The 22,742-nt window shown below is 36.1% G+C and overlaps 1 protein-coding gene and 1 long non-coding RNA gene across 22 annotated transcripts in view; one reads left to right on the top strand and one right to left on the bottom strand.

The window, feature by feature from the left end:
- SNTG1 (syntrophin gamma 1) overlaps nt 1–22,742 on the top strand; it is an 886,897-nt gene that overhangs the window by 445,399 nt on the left and 418,756 nt on the right. The gene's annotated exons all lie outside the window — the stretch shown is intronic.
- On the bottom strand, nt 9,252–21,783 carry LOC105375828 (uncharacterized). Its single transcript, XR_928862.3, has 3 exons — nt 21,627–21,783; nt 21,397–21,482; nt 9,252–9,290 (listed from the first exon to the last, which is right to left on the bottom strand). It is a non-coding gene; the product is annotated as an uncharacterized LOC105375828 (long non-coding RNA).

Consider the following 22,742-nt stretch of genomic DNA (forward strand, 5'->3'; position numbering starts at 1 on the left):
AGAAAAAATTAAGCCAAGCAGCTATGTAGTGAAACACTTGGAAATTAAATAATTAATTAATTAAATAAATTAAATAGTCATTCACTGATTTTTTCATTAATTAAATTGCCACCTCCAATCGAAATGACAGGCATATATTTCTAATTTATGATATACTATGACCAGATGTTATTTACTGAAAAATAGAAAATTGAGATTTGTAAGATCTCCTAATGTTCTCCTACCACCCCTGCCTAAATTTGATAATTATGTTAGTATTTTTGGGTGAAATGGCACTTTTAAGTTGTGAACTTCTTTATATATTCAACATGCTTTACTATAGAAAGGATACATGAAAGGCGAAATTGATGAACCTTTTCAGGTTCAAAAAATATTTTTGTTCTGCCTTAACATTTGAATGATTGGTTGAAAATGTTTTGCTCCAGAACTTTGAAGATGTTGTCTCAGTATCTTCTGTCATCAGTTGCTGCTGCTGAGAAATGTGATGCTCAAAATTTTAAAATTTATGCAAGAATCAGCTGTGGGATTTGACCTAAGTCTGTGAGATTCCTATGGTATAAGAGGAAAGAGGATTTCATTTTAAGACAATAAAACCCTCATTTTTAGCTTCAACTATCCCAACAGTACATTTAATCTGTTCATTGAGAAAGCTTCTGATTCTTTGCTGTGAGCTTACCGTGGCTTTTAGACTGAGCTGATTCCAGTCTCTGTGTGTGACTGATTGTTCTGAGCACCAGATCCTTCTGAGTGGCAGGGAGTTCGTTCACAACACCCCATGTAATATTGTCACAGCTCATAGTAGGCTCTGGCTTTTTCTGCTGCCCAAATCCTGTACTTCCTTTTTTTGTTTGTTTTTGTTTTTTGTCTGTCTTTCAGCATTTTGGGGATGGCCCTTGCAATTCTGATTTTCCATCCATGTGCAGTTTTAACTCGGTGGGTTTGTTTTTTTCAATACATTTATGTCAGTGGGGTCTATAGAGGGATAGAAGTCAAATATGTACTGAGTTCACCATCTTGACAGGAGCCATTCAAGTCATTTTTGCCAAACGACTTGATTCAGCTTCCCAGGGAAGGGGTTCAAGCCTCTCTTAACCTGGGTTTCCCATCTCCCTTCAGGATTCCTAATAGAGAAGTATGAGTCAGGGTGCCTCACAGTACTGTTGTGGACAGAACCAGGGATTTAGGGCCCAAAGGCAAGGTTCAATGTTGCCATAGAAATAAATGGCAGTGTTCTATTGAGCAAATGCTCTATACTCTTTGTCTTAGTCCATTTGTGCTGCTATAACAAAATATCTGAAACTAGGTAAATTGTAAAGGACAGAAATTTATTTCATACAGTTCTGGAGTCTGGGAAGCCCAAGATCAAGATGCCGGCATCCGCTGTCTGGTAAGGAAGGGCCTTCTTGCTCTGTCCTCCCATGGCAGAAAGTGGAAAGGCAAAAAGGGACAATCTCTCTTTTTCAAGTCCTTTTTTTAAGGGCCTCTAATCCCATTCATGAAGGAGGAAGGAGGAACCCTCATGACCTAATTACCTCTTAAAGGCCCCACCTCCCATTATATGGGCCATTCAGTTTCAACACCTGAATTTCAGAGGGTACCCATTCAAACCATAGCATTTTTTAGTCTGATTCTTTATCTTCATAATGTAGAAATAACTCATTGGGATTCATGGAGACAGATTGTACAGTGCTGGACTCACTGCTGCTTCTCAAAAATCCAACAACCTCAGCGTGACTTTTGGGCCTCAATGAGCTGGACATGGGTTCTGTTTTTCCAGTCTTAGGGAATGCGTAACTGGAAGGGCTTCACACTTGTGTTATATCCAAAATTGCCTTTGGGCCTTAGCACATGAACTTTTTTTCTCTCCCTGGTTGGCCTTCCCTCCGTGGTTTGCCTGAGAAACTGCCCTTCCTTCAGGAGCTGGCTTCACCTCCCTCCTGCTCATTTCCCACGTCAGCCATACTCCTTGGTGTGGAGTTGCTCCTTCCCCTCAGTCACCAGGGCTCTGCAAATGAGGTTGTGCTTCTCCCTGGGGTCTCCCCCTCCACGACTCTCAGAGGGCAGCAGTCCAGTCTTCTACATCCCTGTATTCCCACAGTGGGGACTATCCTGCCATGTAGAAGTTAATCAACAATTGCCAAGTCCAACTGGATGGAAACAAAAGAACAGGTTTACACATTGTTTCTGCGACGTGCTTTACAGTATGGTTTTATTATGCCACTGAGGTGATATGAATTATAAAAGCAGCAGACACAGTTCCAAATTAAGTTCAAAATCACATTCTAAAATCAATACAAGTGTCCTTGGCATGTGGGAATTATTATCACTACTCTTCCTGTTACCAAGATGAATAGATTTTATATTATATTAACATCATTCTCTGTGCAGTAAGACTGGACTTCAAAGGAAATGGACCAGCCTTGATACTGAAGCAGGTTTAATGTTGTCAGCTTTTGATTATCCTTGTCAGCACATTCATGTTTATCTGTTTTCCAGAATGACTTTCTCATGTCACCTAGAATATTTCTCAGTAGACTGATAACTGCTTAGTGGTGTGCCTTTAAAGAATATAAAGTAATTTTATCTTGTGTTACTTTACAAATGATGAAATAAGCTTCATAAGAAAAAAATACTCATGGGAGGAAATCTAATGTCACCTGTAAATAACTGCTAGATGATCCTGGCCAGCATTTCTTGTCAATAATCCAGATGACAGATATTTGATTGTGTCTCCGTTGAGTGCATATGTAATTAGAAGTTTTATTTGTTTTCCCTTTTTGTGTTTTTTTTTACTATTTCCTTCTTATTTTTTAAAAATCCAAGTCCCAGCTTATCCATAAAGTCCCTTTCCAGCCACTCTGACATAATGTGAATCTCTTCCAAATATTGATTGTGTCCCACCATGTGGCAGGCTCTGTGCTGGGTGCTAGGAATACTGTGCTGAACAGCTGGGAGCAAGGTTTCTCTCGGGAACCCATAGGCTCTTTTCAGAAGCACCTTGAACTTTATCGGAGTGAAAGGTAAAGAAACATCAAATAGTTTTGCCATACAAATGTACTCCTGGATAGTTTTCAGTTTGTTTGCAAGAACGCTCACACTCCTACATCTGCTCAGTATTCATTAGAGTAAGTTTTTGTTTTTAACTTCATTAACTAATGGAGGATACAAGCAAAGGTCAGGACCAATGAGTTCCATGTGTCCTCAGGAAACCCTGAAGGACAGCATATGGGAACCAGTTTGATATTTGGCCTTGACACACTAAAGGAGAAAATCACATAAAGTGGGATGGATGGCCTTGGACACAATTAGTCCAGGACCGCAGTTATATTTCAATATTTCAGATAAGTTTGCAATGGTTTAGACCTTGAACAATTTTGACTCAATAACACTATGCACAACTTTCATAACAATTTCATTTCAAGAAGTGTCTAATGATTATCTGGATAATTTTCATAACTATAAATTACCAAATGACTGATGAAAGTATTAAAAAAATTTACTTTTAACAGTACAGGGATTAATGCTGTAATTTTTTTACAGATTTCAAATGTAGCCAATAAATTAGAATCTTGTACTAAGAAAAATTACCACTTTCAATGCAGATATGGTAATGTTTTAAGGCTTGATGAACTATTCAAGTTCAGACCATCATCAAGTGTGACAATAAAACACTTTCATACTTGAAATTGTCATTTCTTATTGTTCCATGTAAGTTAACGCACGGTTTGATACTCCTTTGTTTCTCAATGTTATGGGAGACATGCATACTGGTATTCTGTGCCTGAAAATATGGCCTTGCTGGCACCTAGTTGCTGATCATCTAAAGACAAATCATACTGTGTGGCAATGACAGGCGACAGCAAATGTTTCTGCCTTCCAGAACCAGAATATTCTCTGTCTCCTTGTGCCTTTGCTGTCATAACTGAAGCTGTCAACCAGTTCTTTCCTTAGGTAGATGCACATAAAAATTTCCCAAAATAGGCATGCCATTTATTCTGCTTTGTGCTCAGTCTTCCTCTGAGTTCAGCTCCTTAGTCCACAAAACCACTCCCCATGTGACAGGGTCTCCACATTTACCACATTTATGCCTTATAGACTTCTCAGCCCACAGGCTTCACTCTGTACCCTGCTGTATTCACCAGCATGTATTTGACATCTGAACCAAGGCTGGAATTTATCTTGCTCTATACAGTCTACTTTCTGGGACTGCCCATTGTAAACCGCTGGCATTTAAGTGTCCTGAATTTGCTGGCCTTGCACTATAAAACAATATAACCCTGGCTTAGCTCCAATTTTTGCATCTCTGTTTTCCTTGTTGTTCCCAATGTGATAATATTTTTCAATAAAATTTGCTTTGAGCAAGTTTTGTATCAGTGATAGCAGTAACAGTTTGAATCTTAAGGAGATTTTGGAAATCTGTCTAAAATATGCCACTGACTTGACAGTGAAAATAAATGAAAGATACTTTAAATGCGTGAAAGAAATTCTAGTTGTCTATCAGCTTCTCTCAATCTCAACTCTTTAAAAATCATCTTTCAGCACAATGTGGATAAATTTTAAGGTAGAAAACTTTAAGGATAAAGATTAATACTATTTCAAAGTATTTTTCTGGTTCTGCTTTCTGTTTGCATCTTTCAATACTTATTTCACATTTAAGCTTCTAGTTTTCCATTCTCTTTTTATTTTTTCACTGTGATGCCTTTCTTTCTTTTTTCCACATGAGTGTGTTACAGATTTTTCTAACCACATTAGTGCACAACTAACTTACTAAAATCTTCATGTTAAAAAGAAAAGAACAAGTTTCTTAGAAATGCAGGCCTTTCTGTAGAAGAGTGAGGATAAATTAATGAGTGACTCAATTCTAATTTTCAGTGAATGGGATAATCAACACCTCTTATTAACTGGTCTAACAGTTCATGCAGACCCACACGAGATCAGATAGATCATCATCACTACAAATCATTGTGTTCCTATGATCAAACTAAATAGTGCTTCCTAGGATCAAACTAAATTAGGCAACAAACTTCGCAGTGAATTACATGTACAAATGGGAGTGACAATGAAACCCACCCCCATTTCCAAAATATTTTCTTGATGACTAGTAGTCATGTGGATTGCTCAGCATGTATTGATAATCCAGTTCTCTATCAACATCTGGCAGATCATGTGTTTTAAAAATGTTTTTCTTTTTGGGTTTTCTTTTGTCTTGGGGAACTGTAGTTATAAGTCTTGCCATTGTGACCTCCTAGAAAGTGTGGGTGGGTTATCACTAATATCTTCTAACACATTTAAATACAACCATGCATCACTTAAGGACAGGGATACATTCTGAGAAATGTGTCATTAGGGGATCTTGCTGTTGTGCCAATATCAGTGTATTTACCACATACTTGGGAGTTATAAACTATGACACACCTACACTACATGGGATAGCCTATTGGTCTTAGGCTACATGCCTCCACAGCACATTACTATATTAAAACTTGCAGGCAATTGTAACAGCACAGTATTTATATCTCCAAACATATCTAAACATGGAAAAGGTACAGTAAAAGTATGGCATAAAAGATAAAAAATGGTACACCTATATAGAGCACTTATGATGAATGGAGCTTGCAGGACTATAATTTCAGTATAGAAGTTGCTGTGCACGAGTCAGTGAGTGAGTGGTAAGTGAATATGAAGGCCTAGGACATTACTATACACTACTGTAGACTTTTAAATGCTGGACACAGGCTACACAAATTTATTTTTAAAATTTCTTTAATAAAAACCTTATCTTACTGTAATTTTTCACTTAAACTTTTAATGATTTGCTGTTTTTTAACTCTTTTGTAATAGCTTTTAGCTTAAAACACAAACATTTACAACTGTACAAAAATATTTTCTTTCATATATCCTTGTTCTATAAGCTTTTTTCTATTTTATTTTTTGAATTTTAACTTTTTTGCTTTTTAAAATAGTTTGTTGGAAACTAATACCCAAAGACACATGCTAGCCTAGGCCTGCACAGGGTCAGAATCATCAATATCACTGTCTTCCACCTCCTCTTGTCCCACTGGAAAGTCTTCAGGGGCATTAACAGCCATGGAACTCTCATCTCCCATGGTAATGATGCCTTCTTCTGAATACCTCTGGAAGGATGTGCCTGAAGCTCTTCTTGAGGAGGAGTCACATTTTTAGAAATATGTCCATGATGGTTTGCTTCTTTTTTTCATTATAGACTTGTTTATAAACAGGTAAAGCATCATAAGCATTCCTCTGTATTAATGAAAACCTTTAGATGTTGGGATCTATGGTTTCAAACCTTTTGTTTGCTTGTTTGTTTAGAGATAGGATCTCTCTAGGCTGCCCAGACGGGACTCAAAGTCGCTGGGATTACAGGTGCATGCCACAACACCCAGCTCAAACATTCTAAGGAGCATCTTGAGGTCTGCAGAATCTTCTGCTAAACCCTTCATTGTGAATTTTTTTTGGGGGAGGTCACTGGGCAATAGAAATTTTTCAGTTCCTTTATAATCTTACGGGACCACTTAACATGAACCTAGGAGTTATAAGCTATTACACATCTAGGCTACATGAGATAGTCTATTGTTCTTAGGCTACACACCTGTACAGCACATTACTATACTAAAACTTGAAGGTAATTGCAACACTATAGTAAGTATTTGTATCTCCAAACATATTTCAGCATAGAAAAATACAGTAAAAGTGTAGTAAAAATATGATACAAAAGATTAAAAATGGCACACCTATATAGAGCACTCATGCTGAGCAGAGTTTGCAGGACTAGAAGTGGCAATGGATGAGTCAGTGAGTGAACATCTCTATGTAGCACCTGTCTGTGATACTTTCTTGTTTTCTTATTTACCCCCAAATGTGCTTCCTGCCCTATGTTTCCAGTGTCTTTCCAATTATATTTGTATAGAAAATCACCTCAGGACTATGGATTTTGTAAGCCAGGGAAGGGCTTGCTACATTTTATTGTCCCCTCATTGAGTTCACTTCTCATTCTGACCAATGCTGGATGTCACAGTCTTGACTAATTAGACCCTTGACTGAGAATGAAGATAACCAGTATATCTTCCAGTGCGGTACCAAAGAAGGGGACAGTAGCAGTAAACATATACACAAAACAAAACAGTGAAATTATGTTCAATAAACTAACGCTGTAGCTTTGACCTGGAAAATGAATTTTTTGAGGAGTAAGTCTTCTAATGAGGGAAGGGAGAAGTATTGGACACTTCAAAGAATACTTCTTTAATATCTAAAGTTGATTTTCCTCTCATCCACTTGTAACATGCTTCATTATAAAGATAGTCTTTTTTTTTTACTAAAAATATATAGGAATGATTTAGCACTCTAATTTTCTTCAGATGAGCAAACTAAATCCCTTTAAAATTATTCCACCAAGATCACATAGATATTAAGTAGTCACTGTAAGGCTAGAATTTAGTATTCTCTTTCCCTGGTTATTTTTACTATATGGAAGCTACTTATGTTTATTAGGATTTTAGGTTAGAGTCTTATGTATAGCAGGTGATAATTTATATCAGGTGCTATGCTTTGTTATATATGGTGAGTTTTATGGGAAGTATACTTTACTCTGGGTGTTAAATAAGGCTTCACAAAGACACATAAGATTGATATAAATTTAAAATGTGAAAGCAAAACATGAATGGGCCATATAACTATCACTGAAATCTACTGAAGATCTCATCTTCCTTAGTAAACACAGACAACTGAATTGCCAATAGATGATTGCCCTGTGGGAAGAGAAAGGATGGAAAATGAAACTCATGGCCTCTTCCTTTCTTTAGCCCTATCAGGACATAGCAGAACTTAAAAAAAAGAAAGAAATTCTTATTTTGTTTGTTTTATATTTATTTTTAAGGCTAAATAATGGTCTTTTTTTCAACCCCAGTGGTAAAGCCTAGAGAAACTTCTAACCAGATTTAGCGACTAAATCATCGACACTTTAGTCAATCTTTTACCTAGTCACTCAACCAATATTTATGAAGAAACTATCAAGTGCCAAGCATTTTTCCAGGAGCGGAAAATAAACAAGTATGATCCCTGCCTTACCTGAATTTACATCCCCTCTCCATAACTCTTTTTTTGATAGTGCAAAGGTGGTGAATCTGGGAGGTAACAGTTGTGGCCTATGTGCAGGTAGTGGCAGTGGTGGCCGAAGGTGCAGAGCGGGGTTAGAGCCTGCAAGCTGATCTAGGGAACTGCTGGTCATTGCAATCAGGCTTTTGCCTTTACAATTGGACTTTGTCCCTGAAGCTTGTGTTGGGGAAAATCACTTCAGGGTGTGTGTATGTGTGTGTGTGTGTAATAACTTTTAGATCCTCAGTTGTGAAGTGACTAGTGAGGAAACGAGAAATTCACAGAATTGTAAGACATATTGGATTTTGATTATGCATAAATATTAAGCATGTGACATCTTTTTTTATTAGATTGAATACAAACACTTTTTTTTCTGTAAGAGGACTTGCAAGTTATATGCTATTATATGTTTAAGAAGATGCAGCCATTTTAAGAGTTTTTGTAGGTCTAAATAAACTCAACTGTCTCTGGATACAATTCCTTTGGTAAGAGAGATTTGGAGAATCTCTCATAGGCATTTGAATACTGGTCTACCCAAGGATAGCCTTCTCTCTAAAGGTTCACAGGACTCAGAAAAACAGTTTACCTATTAGATTACTGGCTTAACATAAAAGGGTGCAACTCAGAAAAGCCAGATGGCAGAGATACACGCCTCAGGCATGGAGGAAGGGGTTTGGAGCTTCATGCCCTGCCCATATGCACCAATCCCTGAGGCCCTCCCTATGACACCAACCTGGAAGCTCTCAGAATCCCTTTGATTAGGGATTTTTAGGGAAGTTCCATTACATAGACAATAGATCATATCATCGGCCATTGGTGATTAATTCAGTCTCCAGTCCCTCTTGCCTTCCTAGAGGTTGGGGAATTGGGGTTGAAAGTTCCAGTCCCTTAATCCATAGTTCCCCTGGCAAGCCACACCCGCTGCTTAGAGGTTTTCTGAAAGCCACTGCAATAACATAAACTCAGGTGTGGTTGAAAGGCACTTGTCATGAATGATGAAAGACACTCCTTTCACCTTTATCACTCTTATCACTTAGCAAATTACAAGGGTTTTAGGCAGTCTACCCAGGAACCTGGGACTAAGACCAAATACGGATTTCTATGACATCGTAATTTCACACACTTACTGTCATGGGCTCTTTTTCTTTCTTTTTCTTTCATGACGGTTTATGTATATTCTGGGAATAAATAGAGAAATGGGTGAGAACAACTTTAGTTTATGTGTTTTTCTTTAGGATTCTATATCGTATATCTTAAAATGCTTATATCATAGCATTTTCTCTGAGACATAACACCATTGCATTAATTACAGCACCTCTCATTATTATATTGGCTGTAAAAAGGGTTAATATGAATAATTCATTCATATTCAAGATCAATACCTCCATCTGCTTTCCTATAGGCCTTGAATTTTCATAAAAAATATTTAAAAATACATTATATTCAATTATATTTTACTCAGCATTTTTAGGTCAGCAAACTATTTCTTGTTCTTTTTTATTGCAGTAATCATTTAAATCAGTTTTTGACTTCTTACAAATCACAAAAATTAATAGTAATTATGTGTTTTGGAAAAAGCTGAGTTTAAAATAATATAATTTTATTTTTTCAAACAGAAAAAATCATTTAAGGCTTTTTGCAAAACCATAACAAATGTTCTTTTTACTACTGCTACTATTACAAATGCTTCCACTATCCATTCTCATAATTTCTATTTATTAAGCAGTTATTTTGTCCTTGTGCTGAGTACCTTACATATACTACAAATCTACTTGATTTCTCAAATTTTAGAGTTCATGTGAGAGTCAATTAATTTCCATAAGTTTAATTGCTTCTATATGAGTAGTCAGAGAAAAATTCGAGTGGAAAAACAAGAGATCAAAAAGACATCTAAAACTAGATTTCTAGAAGTTGTATTCATTGATTTTTCTCTTCAATGTCTTTAATTTTTGATGGTGTCATTGTAGCTTGTGTACAAAGAGACATGGTGAGATAATTACTGAAATAGACCTCTAAGGCAAAAGCAAACCAAATGCAGAGTGAAAACATGGTTAGATGAATTTACTTTTATGTTTGTCATTTATTAATATAGCTTTTAACTCCACGTAATATACAAATATGTTTATTTGAATTTGAATATATATACATTGACTATATGTATTTATAAACTTTCCCTTTGAAATTTGCTAGTCAAATAATAAGAAAATTTCTGATATATCTGATCTAAAGTATTTAGGAAAGAATTGTATAAAATCAAAGATTTTTTTTAAATCTTGCAGAAATAAATGTATAAATGTTTTTGTTTTAATTATATCTAGACTATGAGCTTAGGAGAATGGATACAGCAAATTGAAATTCAGTTCTTTGGCCAATTTCCTTTAAAATTTATTGTGTTCTTATTACAATAGACTGATTATTTTATGGTATCTTCTTAATTATAAGTGTTGATTAAGAACTCTTATAACCACAAATTACGAGTGGTAAAGACAATTGTTCTTGCTTATTCATTTTAAAATGCATAAAATATTTTAAAAGCTTATTAGTCTGTAATTGCTAACATAAATTATTTTGAAAGCTTTATTTTGCAAAATGTTGCAAAACTGCATCTAGATTGGATTCTGGGCAGCTGACATAAAAGCAATTTTCTAACCATTTCCTACTTTTCTAAAATAACCAGTTGACTGTATTTTAAACACCCAAATTAATTGGCATGCCTATTATTTTCTAACAAACAATTTATCACCTGAGTATTTGAGGAATATAGAACTTTTATCATGCTATATTGAAAATATCCAGTGAACAAGAGAATGAGAACTAGAGTCCATCCAAAGCATGAAACATTGGGATCTGTGTAATAAAGTCAACGCACAACTATAACATTGCCAAGACATGCTTGTAGGACCTCTGCATGTTAGAGCCAGAAAGGAACATAGCTCAATGCTTGCAGATGACTAAATCAATCAGTATCAGGAACTACTACATGGTTGCGCCCAAGATCACAGAGTGAGTCAGCACAGAACTGCATCTTTACCCAATAGCCTTTTTACTACGCTGTGCAGTTACGTTTAAATTGGTATTTTTCAAAGTGTAGTCCTTGACTATCTTTATCAGAAATCATAACCATGTCCATGACCATCTTAATCAGAAATTCATAACAAGCCCCTTTCAACCATAACCATGTTCATGAAAAATTCATAATCCTGAGTTTTTCCCTAAATTTACTGAATCAGATTGAGGTTTGGGAATGTATAATAGGGATCTACATTGAAAATAAGCACTATGTAATTGATTCTTCCGTACTGGTTTTTAAATAATAATATATGTCTATATGATTTTATATATATATTATTTTGTAATAATATAGGCCTATATTATTTTATATATATTTTATATAATATATAATATACTTACTATTTGCATATATATGTGAATACATATATTTTATATATAATATAGTATTATTTAAGAACCAATATGGAAGATATAATACTATAATAAAATATATTATATATAATATATATACCATTATATAGTATAGGCCTATATTATATATATTATAGTATTTTATCTTCCATATTGGTTCTTAAATAATACTATATAATATAGTATAGGTCTATACTATATAATATATAATATAGTATACTATAAGGACGCAAATAGTAAGGAGTAGTAAAATACAGATTTAAGGAATCATCTGTTTTGTCTGCATCATTGGTAAGACTAACACCATCAAAGAGATCTCAACAGCAATAGCATGGAGTCCTAGAACCCACCCCAGAGTTGATGATAATTGTTCTGATGTGAGCATAGGTGATTCTAAGAGAATATTTGGAAAACATTCATTTATATAATAGAGTGTTGTTTCCTTTACCAAGTAGATCAGCTTGGTATTTAAAATTCATAGTTCATTTCTTACATGTATTCTTTAAATGTTAGAAATTTGAAACTTTGATTTTAGTCTCTTGACCACCAAGAAGTCTACCAAAGTCTATGACATTTCCTAGTTCACAATATTAGAAAGAAAATAGTCATATAATTCATTAAATTCCCACAGTAAAATTAGCTAACACCAGATTAATTTTATTTAATTCTATGTTAGAATGCTGAATTGCAGCCACTAACAAAATATATACATTAGATTTTAACCCTGCATATAAAATTTATTATTTTTTATTTTTTATGTTAGTGAGAGAAATATGTGTTTACTTACATAGTCTTTCAGAATATTACTATTTTTGATAATGACTCAGTTGAAAATACAGCAAAATGTACTTACTTTAACAACTGATTATACTAATGTAGAATCATTTCCAATTCTTATTTGTTACATTTTGCTAAAGTATAAACTCATTCAATCATGAAACTGTATCAGGATATAATATCTAGTAATTACCTGTGATTGTTAATTTTTTGTGTCCACTTGAATGTGCCACTGGGTGCTCAAATATACTTGGTCAACCATTGTATTGTATACACACACACACACACGCACACATGCACCCTACTGGTTTTGCTTCTCTGGAAACTCCTGAGCAACACTGCACTGATTTTGGTACCAGGAAGTGGACTGCTGCTATAACTAATACCTAAAAATGTGGACCTGGCTTGGCCTTGGCTTGGGAACTGGGCAATAGGGTAGAGGTTGGCTGAGTTTTGAGGTACAGACTAGAAAAAGCCCGAATTTCTACGAAGGGACTATTGGTAGAAACGTGGACATTAAAGGCAATTCTGGTAAGGGATCGGGAGGAAAAGAGGAGAGCTGTAGAGAGGGCTTCACTCTTCTTAGAAAATAAATAATCATGAATAATCAAAATAGAATGTTTGTGGAAATATAGACGTTAAATATTCTGAGAAGGTCTCAGATGGAAATGAGAACAGGCCACTGTAAGCTGGAGGAAAAATGGTTCTTGTTATATAGTGGCAAATATCTTGGTTGCATTTTGTTCCAATGTTTTGAGAAAAATAGCACTTATAAGTGATACACTTGGCTATTTACCAGATACAATTTTTAAGCAAAGTGTTGAAAGTATGGCTTGGGTCCTCCTTAAGGCAATACAATAGGAAAAATATGGATTAAAGAAGGATTTGTTAAGCAAAAAGACCCAGGACAAGGAGATTTAGAAATTTCTCAGCTTATCTATAATGCAAAAACTGGAGAAGTCTGTTCTGGAGACAACACTAAGAGTGCAACTGAATCACCCTTTGCTAAAGAGATAATGGGGGTGACCCATCAGCTTAATCAGCCATATCAGCAGAAGCCAGGAACAGCAAATGGATTACACCATCAAAGATCCGGCCCGTTTGAACTGAAGAGGATAGGGGGAGCAGGACAGATTAAGGAAAAGCTGTCAGACTTCTTGGATTCTATAGGACCGTCTGGTCCTATAGAATCCATAGAGCTGTTAACCAAATGGTTGGGGTTGTCCTACACCCTCCTTAACAGGATATGGAAACAAAGAGGTTCTTCTTCAGACTTCAGATTTAATGAAATTGCCCTTGCTAGGTTTTCTGCTTTCATGGGAATCATCACTTCCTTTTTTAATTTAGATTTTTCCATTTTGAAAAGAAAATATCTATCCTATGCCTCTCCCATTATTGTATTTTGGAGACACATAACTTGTCCGTTTCACAGGCTCAGCGCTGGAGGGGAATTTTGGCTCATGATGAATTGTACCTCAAGTCTCATTCATATCTTAGTTAGATGATTTTAGTATGAGACTTTGGCCTTTAACCTTTAGAGTTAATGCTGGAATAAGTTAAGAATTTGGGGGCTACTGGAATGGGATGAATGTATTTTGCATGTGATAAGAACATGGATTTGGGGGAACCAAGGGAAGAATTCTATGAGCTGAACTGTGATGTCCTTCCAAAATGCATATATTGAAGCCCTAACCCCTAATGTGACTGTATTTCATGGTAGGGACTTTGGGAGGTATCAAAGTGAAATGATGCCATAAGAATAGCATCTTCATTTCATAATATTGGTGTCCTTTAAGAAAAGAAAAAGAGGCTGGGCACGGTGGCTAACGCCTGTAATCCCAGCAACTTGGGAGGCCAAGGCAGGTGGATCACATGAGGTTGAGAGTTCGAGACGAGCCTGACCAACATGGGGAAACCCCATCTCTACTGAAAATACAAAATTAGCCAGGGGTGGTAGTGCATGCCTGTAATCCCAGCTACTTGGGAGGCTGAGGCAGGAAAATCGCTTGAACCCAGGAGGCAGAGGTTGCAGTGAGCTAAGATTGCATCATTGCACCCCAGCCTGGGCAACAAGAGCAAAACTCCGTCCCAAAAAGAAAAAAAAAAAAGAAAAGAAACAGAAACCAGAGCTAGCTCATTATCTACCAAGTGAGGACACAGCCAGAAGGTTGCTGTCTGCAAGCCAGGAAGAGAGACCACACCAGAAACCAAAGCCCACTGGAACTTGATCTTGGACTTCCAGCCTCCAGAACTGTGAGTGATACATTTTTGTTGTTTTCTTCACCCAGTTTATGGTATTTATTATGGCAGCCCAAACTGACTCGATGCCAAGTGTCATTCTAGGGAAAGAGACTTTTAAGAATGAATTTTCTGAGTTGGTTCTGAAGTATCTGGAATTGGCTCTTTAATCTGATTGGGTTTAAAGATGCCAATGACTCTATTTCTAATATTCCATGGTGTCTATATTCCATGGTGTGATCTGGCCATAGAGATATGCAGAATATCACCATTGGACACTCCTAATCAACCATTTATAAGAAGCAAGGATCTGAGTACTATGTATATACATTTGAGCATTTTTGGCAAACTAATGAATATAATGAGATTGGCTGGCAGCTCCTAACTCACTGCACAAAGTGAGAAAATAAAAGGATGAGTTCAGGAATTCAAATTCCAAGCTCAAGGGCTACATAAATGACATGAAAGATTCTGGGCGTGCTATGAAGGAGCTCTTTTTTCCTGTAGCCATAAGGCTGAGATTGTTAAAAATCAGGTGCAGAATACCACTCTGCGACTGGCTGAATCAAAATGCAACTTGAACTCCCAGCCTGTTGAACTATCTGCTACAGTGAGGGCATTGATTGGTAAGGAATGGGATCTTGAAAGTCAGAATGGGAACGACCCTGTGGGAAGACCCTGATGAGTATGGGCACAATGAGCCAGTAAATTGGAATGACTCATTTTTGCCAGTAGAGGAGGCTTCTCCATTTTCAGTGGAGAGTAGGAGCAGCGCTCCATTTTCAGGGCTTCAGTGGGAGCAGCCTCCCCACCTGCAATGATAGTAGTCTCCTCGCCCTTTCACCCCTGTCTGAAGGACTTAACCTTACATTGCCTGAAAAACCTATAATGGCCTCCCCAAAGGCAGTTACTAGGCAAGGTAATGCCATTTCTCTCCAGAGCCATCCCCACCTCCGCTCCTTTCTTCCAGACCTATAACTAGACCCAAGTCCCAGAAGTCCCCTGAAGGTGAAGTACAAAGTATGACCCATGAGGAGGTGCACTACACTCCACAAGCACTTGAATTTTCTAATTTATACAAGCAGAATTCCGAGGAATATATATGTGAATGGATACTAAGAGTATGGATTAAGAATGAAAGGAAAATAAAAGTTGGATCAGGCCGAATTTATTGCTATGATCTCCCTAAGCTGAGATTCTATTAGGGAGGATTTTAATAATTTGTTTAATAGGATAATAATTTTTTGATAGGATAATTGAAACATGAACTTAAATGTGGCCTAATGTGACCAAGTTAGAAATGCTAGACTGGCCTTTGGAGGCTTCTATAGGTGAACCACAGCATGGGTCTTTATGATTTTGGAGAAAAGCCCAGCCATTCACTCAAGATAACTATTTTCTTTTGAGAATCAGCTATTGGCCTACTACTGGATCTCAGAAAAGACTGAATGCTTAACCATTGGTCACCACGTTATTATGTGGCGTGAGCTGCCCATCATTAACTGGATGTTATCTGACTCACTAAGCCATAAAGTCGGGTGTGCACAGCAGTACTCCATCATCCAATAAATAAGTCATCAGGCCTCAGCAAGCCCTGAAGGCAAAAATAAGTCACATGAACTAGTGGCCCAAATTCCCATGGACCCCATTCCAGCTACCATGGCTTCTCCCTCCCAGCATATTCATATGGCTCCTGCCAAGTTCACTGTGATCAGTTGGCAGGGAAAGAGAAGTCTCTAACCTGGTGTGCAGATGATTCTGATGTTGTTGGGTGAAGTGTTCAGTATATGTTTATTAAGTCACATTGGTGTAGAGTGTTGTTCAGCCCCTTTGTTTTCTTATTGATTCTCTGTCTCACTGACCTACCACTACTAAAAAGGCAATTTTTTAGGTCTTTTACTATTATTGTGTTAATATCTATTTCTAACATAAATTCTGTCAAGGTTTTATTCATATATTTGAGTGCTCTAATGTTAGCTGCCTATATATTTATAATTATTACATCACATCTTCCTGGTGAATTGACCCTTTTATCGTTACATCATGTCCTACTTCGTGTCTTCTGACCATTTTTAACTTAAAATCAATTTTGTGTAAGTATAGCTACCCCTGCTCCCTTTGGCTACCATTTGTCTAGAGTATCTTTTCCTATTTTTTTACTGTCAGGCTTATATCAAAAAATAAATCTCCTGTAGACGGCATGTAGTTGGATCTTGTTTTTTAATCCATTCAGCCACTCTGTCTTTTGATTAGGGAGTTTAATCCACTTACATTTACAGTAATTACTAATAGGAAAGAACTTACCATTGCCATTTCGTTATTGTTTTTGTGTGTCTTATAGTTATTTCATTACTTTTTATTTCTCAACTCTTTTCATTTTTCATCCTTTTTTATTTTTCATTTATAGTTATCTTATCCCATGTCAACTTTTCCTCTCTAGCTGCTTTCATTTGTGTTTCATTGATCTTTCTCTGTGTGTGTGTGTGTGTGGTGGCATGCTTTGATTCCTTTGCCATTTTATTTTATGCATCTTCTATAGTTATTTTTTTTCGGGTTACCATGGATCTAACATAAAATATCTTATATAATATATTTTAAATTGATAACAACTTAACTTCAATTACTTACAAAACCTACTCCTTTACATCTCTTCCTGTTTCTTGTCCCCATGTACATACCATATATTGTTACGCTAGTGTCTCTGTGGTAGAAGAAGTTCTGGTATTTCCTATTCTGCCATCTTCCTGATACTTTGCATCTTTCTTTATTTAAAATGGGCAAATATGCATTTTAATTATTACTTCCTATTATGTATAAGTCACATACTCAAGAGATGGTCATAATTTAACTTTATATAATTTTATTAAATGTCTGCTGTGTGTCAAGCTCATTGAGAAGCTCTGGGGATTCCAAGAAATGAAAGATACAGCTCTGACATTATGTAACAGGATGGGATGACAAATAGGAAGAAAAAATCATTAAAATCCAGTGTAAGGATTTCAATAATGAAACTCAGTACGCAGTGCAGTCTGAATAGTTGTTTGTCTCTGTGGAGTCAGATAGTATATCCCAAGAAACTGCATGCCGGGTTGAATTTTAGGAAGTAGACTGGATTTCGTATACAAAAAATAACCTCACCATTTTGAACTGAAGAGTTTCCAAGAGACAGTTGGTAAACAAAACACCTGCTTTAGAAGTTATCTGTGTTATACTGAAAAATATTTTCTGTGTCTCTCCATCTGTCCAAGCAGTATAACTATATTTAAACATTTAGCTATTCTGCATGTATATAACTGCATTTTACCCACTGACTAAAGAAATTATCTACAGAGAACAGAGGGAGGCAAAAATCACCAATGTAAGTAAAAATTTTTCCATGTGTTAATTACAAATCATTCCAATGTAGCACTTGGTAAATTCTGTTTTGTAAAGTTTTAATTTTTGTTTATTTGCTTCATAAAGATAAACAAATTGTAATTCTTTTTGGTTAGTGATTATTAAACTCCCAGATCCTCTTATTTAAGGAATGCAAATATGTTTTCACGAAATACAGAAGTTAATTTAATGTTATGAGCTCAAATATGGTAGGTCACTGTTTAAATTGTTGAGTAAATCTCACTTGTTAAGTCTAGTGATCAGGATTTTTTCAAACAGCTCTCCATATTAATTTTTCAAGTGTGACAAGAGAATTCTAAATTAATTCTTGGTGATGTGTAAGATTGTATAATGTTACCATGTGATTAAATGGATATACATACCTTTGTAAAAGTTTATTAAGTAGTAAAAAATGTACAATATGTGCCTCAGTTTCCTCAACCTCACAATAGATAACTATTTTTCAGGATTGTTCTGATGACAGGGAAACAGTAGATGGGAAACTCATTTAAGAAGTGCAGAGTTTAATCTCACATGACAGCTTATACTTTTCATTATGGTTAAATGTATATTGGAAGATATATTTGAAGATATCAATATACTTGCAGCTAAATATTATTTTTTCTCTAAAGTGAGATGTTCTTAATTCCATATCTGTTCATGGTGACAATAACTGTGAAGTCACCTGGGCTATGTTAAGGCTGACTCCACACCTGTTCGCATGCCTTAGCATTGTTTGATCACCAGGCCCTTTTGTCCAAGGCTCCCACCAACACCTTTACTCCACTGTGAATCCTCGTTCCTGGGCCATTACAGGAATCATCTCACTCCTCTTACAGATTCTAGTCCTGGGATCTCTGATGTAGCCTACACAATTTTTTTTTATGGATTTAAATTTATCTTCCCCAAAATTCATATGTTGAAGCTATGTATTAGTGTTGAAATGCTTAGCTTGTTAGAAGACCTATTTTGATGGTGAAGGACCCTGAACAAAACACATAGCCAATGGCATTCTGCCACAATTTTCACTGTCTTTTAGGTGTTTGTGACCTCTCTGTTTGCTGTTAAAATCTTAAATTCCCTTTAGGCAAATCTTCCTGGTGAATTGACCCTTTTAGCCTTGCTAATAGTGTGATCAATTGTAGTTTCCTTAATATGTAAACATCCAATTAGTTAAAATATCAAGGTTGCTATTTTTGGAGTCCTGGAAGAAAGAGCATAATAACTAAGTAAATTCTGTTTAATAAAACTATATAGGCACTTTCGAATTTAGTCAATATCATTCCTGTTACTATTTTGTGAGGTCCAGAGACTAATCTCCCTTGCAGGTTGTAATGCATGGTACATTTTTATATGGGCAGCTCAACTGTTGTAAGGCGCACAAAAGATCTTCATTTTCTGTCCTTTCTGTTTTCAGCCTCTTCCCAGACCAGGTACCCAGTTCATAGGGACAATTGGGACTGTAGTAATTAGTTAGCTTGGTGGTCTTTAAACTTTGCTCCGCAGAGCTCCAGGCTTCAAGAAGAGTGGCCTAATTTTCACTGGAAAATAAAGTGAACTTAAGAAACCTCAGCCTTTTTTCATGCCCAAATCAATGTGAACTGCTCAGCATTTATGTGTTTTTCATATTTGGCTTCTACACAGCATTTAGATGAAACAAGGCATCTCATAGCTAAATAAATAAATAAAATTCCCTAGGCAATTTGATCCTTTTTTTTAGATCAAATTGGAAGTTGGAAAACTGTTTTAAGTTGGAAACTTGTTTTCACATAAATAAAAATGTTTTCATCGTGAAGAAAGAAAGTCACAAACTCACTACCTCAGGCACTGGGAAGTAAAATTAAAAAGTGAAGGTGTAATGTGTCCTGGATAAGGAAGAACTTGCTATCCATTAATTGCAGAGTGAATGTCTGCCAGAGTAACATTTAAACAACATGTGTCTGCAGGCTAGATTTGGTCCTTGGTTTGCTGTTGGGGATCTCTCCTGTAGAAGATTCTTGAACATGCAGGGCAAAATAGTGTGTTTTTAAACAACATCATTTCTGAAACTCTATGCATGCTCCTTATAAAATGAGATGTTTGCATTACTGACTTTTGTGGACATAGAGCCTTGAATCTATACTCTAATGTCATCAGATGGCCTTCAGGCACATGGTTGGGCACATTAGATTCTGGTGGATCTGGCTGGTGTGCTGGGGCAATGGGACATGCACAGGAGGACCTGGGGGACAAGCTCCAGAACTCTACAGAGAGCCAAGAGTTTGTACATGGAACAGATACGACTTACAGAGGAGCCAAGCAGAAGAGACAGTGATTCAGAAGGGCTAAGGTAAAGAATCAAGGGCATGGCAGCTGTGGGAGGGGTGCTGAGCAATTGTGAGCATGAGTGTGAATGAGGTGAGAGTAGATACTCCAGGCAGAGGGAAATGTTTAGGCTGAATCACTTAAAAAACATGTAGTGTCAACTTTACAATCCTAGCCTGTGCTTGTTTGGGGATATTATTCCCATGTAAAAGGAGTCAGGATAAGATAAGTCACAAAATCCTCTGATAATACGATGAACATTTGGAATTTTATATTACTATGTGGGGAAAAATAGTAACCCTATAGGTCCTTGGTTGGAATTGACCCCCATAACAAAAGACAGATTAACAAGAGAAAAACAAACAGAAGTTTATTACATGTATGTTTTATATATGCATGGGAGGCACCCAGGGAAGGAGTAGCTCTGCAAGGGGAGACTTTGAGCTCCAGGTTATATAGCAACTTTACGAAGAACAGTACATTTTTAGAGAAGTGACAAGAAAAAGGAAAAGGACTTTGAATCTCTATAGATGGCAATTCAGGGGAAAGGCAAATAAATGGTGAAGGCCGGTTAGTAAAGGTGTTATCTCCAGGCTGAAAGTCTAAAGATATTTCCAGTGGGTAAACTTTGTTCTCACTGGTAGAAGGAGAAGGCAGGGTATCTTTTGTCTTTGTAAATTTACATCCTACTTTTAGGCAAATAGAGGGAGAAAAAAGAGCTTTCCTGCGTCTGCTGCACCATAATTGTCTTCAGCTCAACAAACCTTCCTATTTGGGGGCAACATATTCTGATTTCCAACAACTGTAACTATACAGATTATACACATCCTCCACTTCATATTTATAACAAAATTGGCAATTACTAAAACTTGAACCAGACTCTTGCTATTCAGATTTGAGGTTTACATGTCCCAGAATGGGTAAAATATTTTCATATCATCTTACTGAGGTTTTCTTTGCAGCAGTAGTATTTTTCACTTGCATAATGATAATAATTTTGTGAAAAAAAATATTACATCTGCCTATTACCTCATCCTTGAGGAAAAGTCAGTGATGTATCATTGGATAGGAAAAGGGTATTGAGACTCAGATCGTTTAAGCAAATGATTCAGCAAGTAAGTAACCCAGCCAATGGTGAAGCCTCCTGACTTGCAGCCTGACACTTACCATACTGTGTCGTCCACTTTCAGAGTCTTCATCAAATTGTATATATTTTTTGCCTGCTTCCATGAATCCCAGGACTTCATTTTAATCTATTTCAGAAGTAGATTAAATATATAATATTATATATTTAATATTAATAAATTATATATATATATATATATATATATATAGAGAGAGAGAGAGAGAGAGAGAGAGAGAATAGTGCTTCCCCAAGGGTTTGAAAACAATATTACCTTGCCCTGAAGCTCTCCTCATCTTCACCTTCTTTTGTCAGTTACACACTTTGATCAGTTGTCTTGTGCTCTTTACATGCTGCATTTAGAACTTCTTTTATCCTCAAGCCTGAAAGCTAAAACTTCTGGAAGGTCAAAAGGAAGCAGTGAAGGATTCAACCTGGCCTGAGTGTTCCCAGACTCCGGCTCCTGCCTGGGCATCATGAGCCCAGGCTCACAATGGGTCGGCTTTCTGAGTCAGCTTCATAAAATAATAAGCACATAGAAAGGAGGCTGCTCTTGGGGAATTCGGGAGGTGTGTATTTGAGGAGGGTGAGAAGGACAATTGAGGTGAAATTTTGATGTAAGTGAGTTTGGCTGAATTTTTGAAATGGTAAAATCTAGGCACTCAAAAGCCTGCACCTTCATAAATTAAACTTTAGGAAAGGAAGAAAAAAAATGGAATGTGTAGGGACATGAATATTTATACCCATTTATATATCCTTTGTTGGCTTATTTCTGTGCACATGGGAAAGTTTAACAACTTCGTACATAATTTCAAGTTCTTTATTCATTTTTTAGATTTGAAGGAGGAGAACAATTTTGCAAAATAGGGTATTCTTCAGTTTTTTGGAAAACGTTTTATGTTTCTTAAAACATCTCATTTGTTTTTTTTCTAATTCACTCTTCACTGTGTTTGCAGTACTTTTCTGGAAATGTATTCATGAATTTTCAGAATTTTTTCTCCTCTAAGTGAAGAATCAATGGTTGAAAAGACTTTTTTTATAGCATATTATCAAATTTGCATAATTAAAAATAAATATACACACAAAAATGTCAAAAATCTAGCTAAATTGATTGGTTAAAAGCAATTTTATCATATAAAGCAAAATCACCTAAAGAATTGACATAATTGCCTAATATTAATTTAAGAATTATAAAATCAACTTAGACATTTGAAGCCCACATAAAATATCAAAATGTCCATGAGACTGCAGTTATTTTGATTTTTAAAAAAATTGATTTTGGAATGTTCCTCAGGGGTGAACAGAAAATTTCAAAACTTCATGACAACTTTGTGAAAAAGCAGAGTAGGTATAACTGGTCAAAACTGAGTTAATATCAATAATAATGCTA

The sequence above is a fragment of the Homo sapiens genome, chromosome 8 (genome assembly GCF_000001405.40).
Source record: "Homo sapiens chromosome 8, GRCh38.p14 Primary Assembly".
NCBI classification, from domain to species: domain Eukaryota; kingdom Metazoa; phylum Chordata; class Mammalia; order Primates; family Hominidae; genus Homo; species Homo sapiens.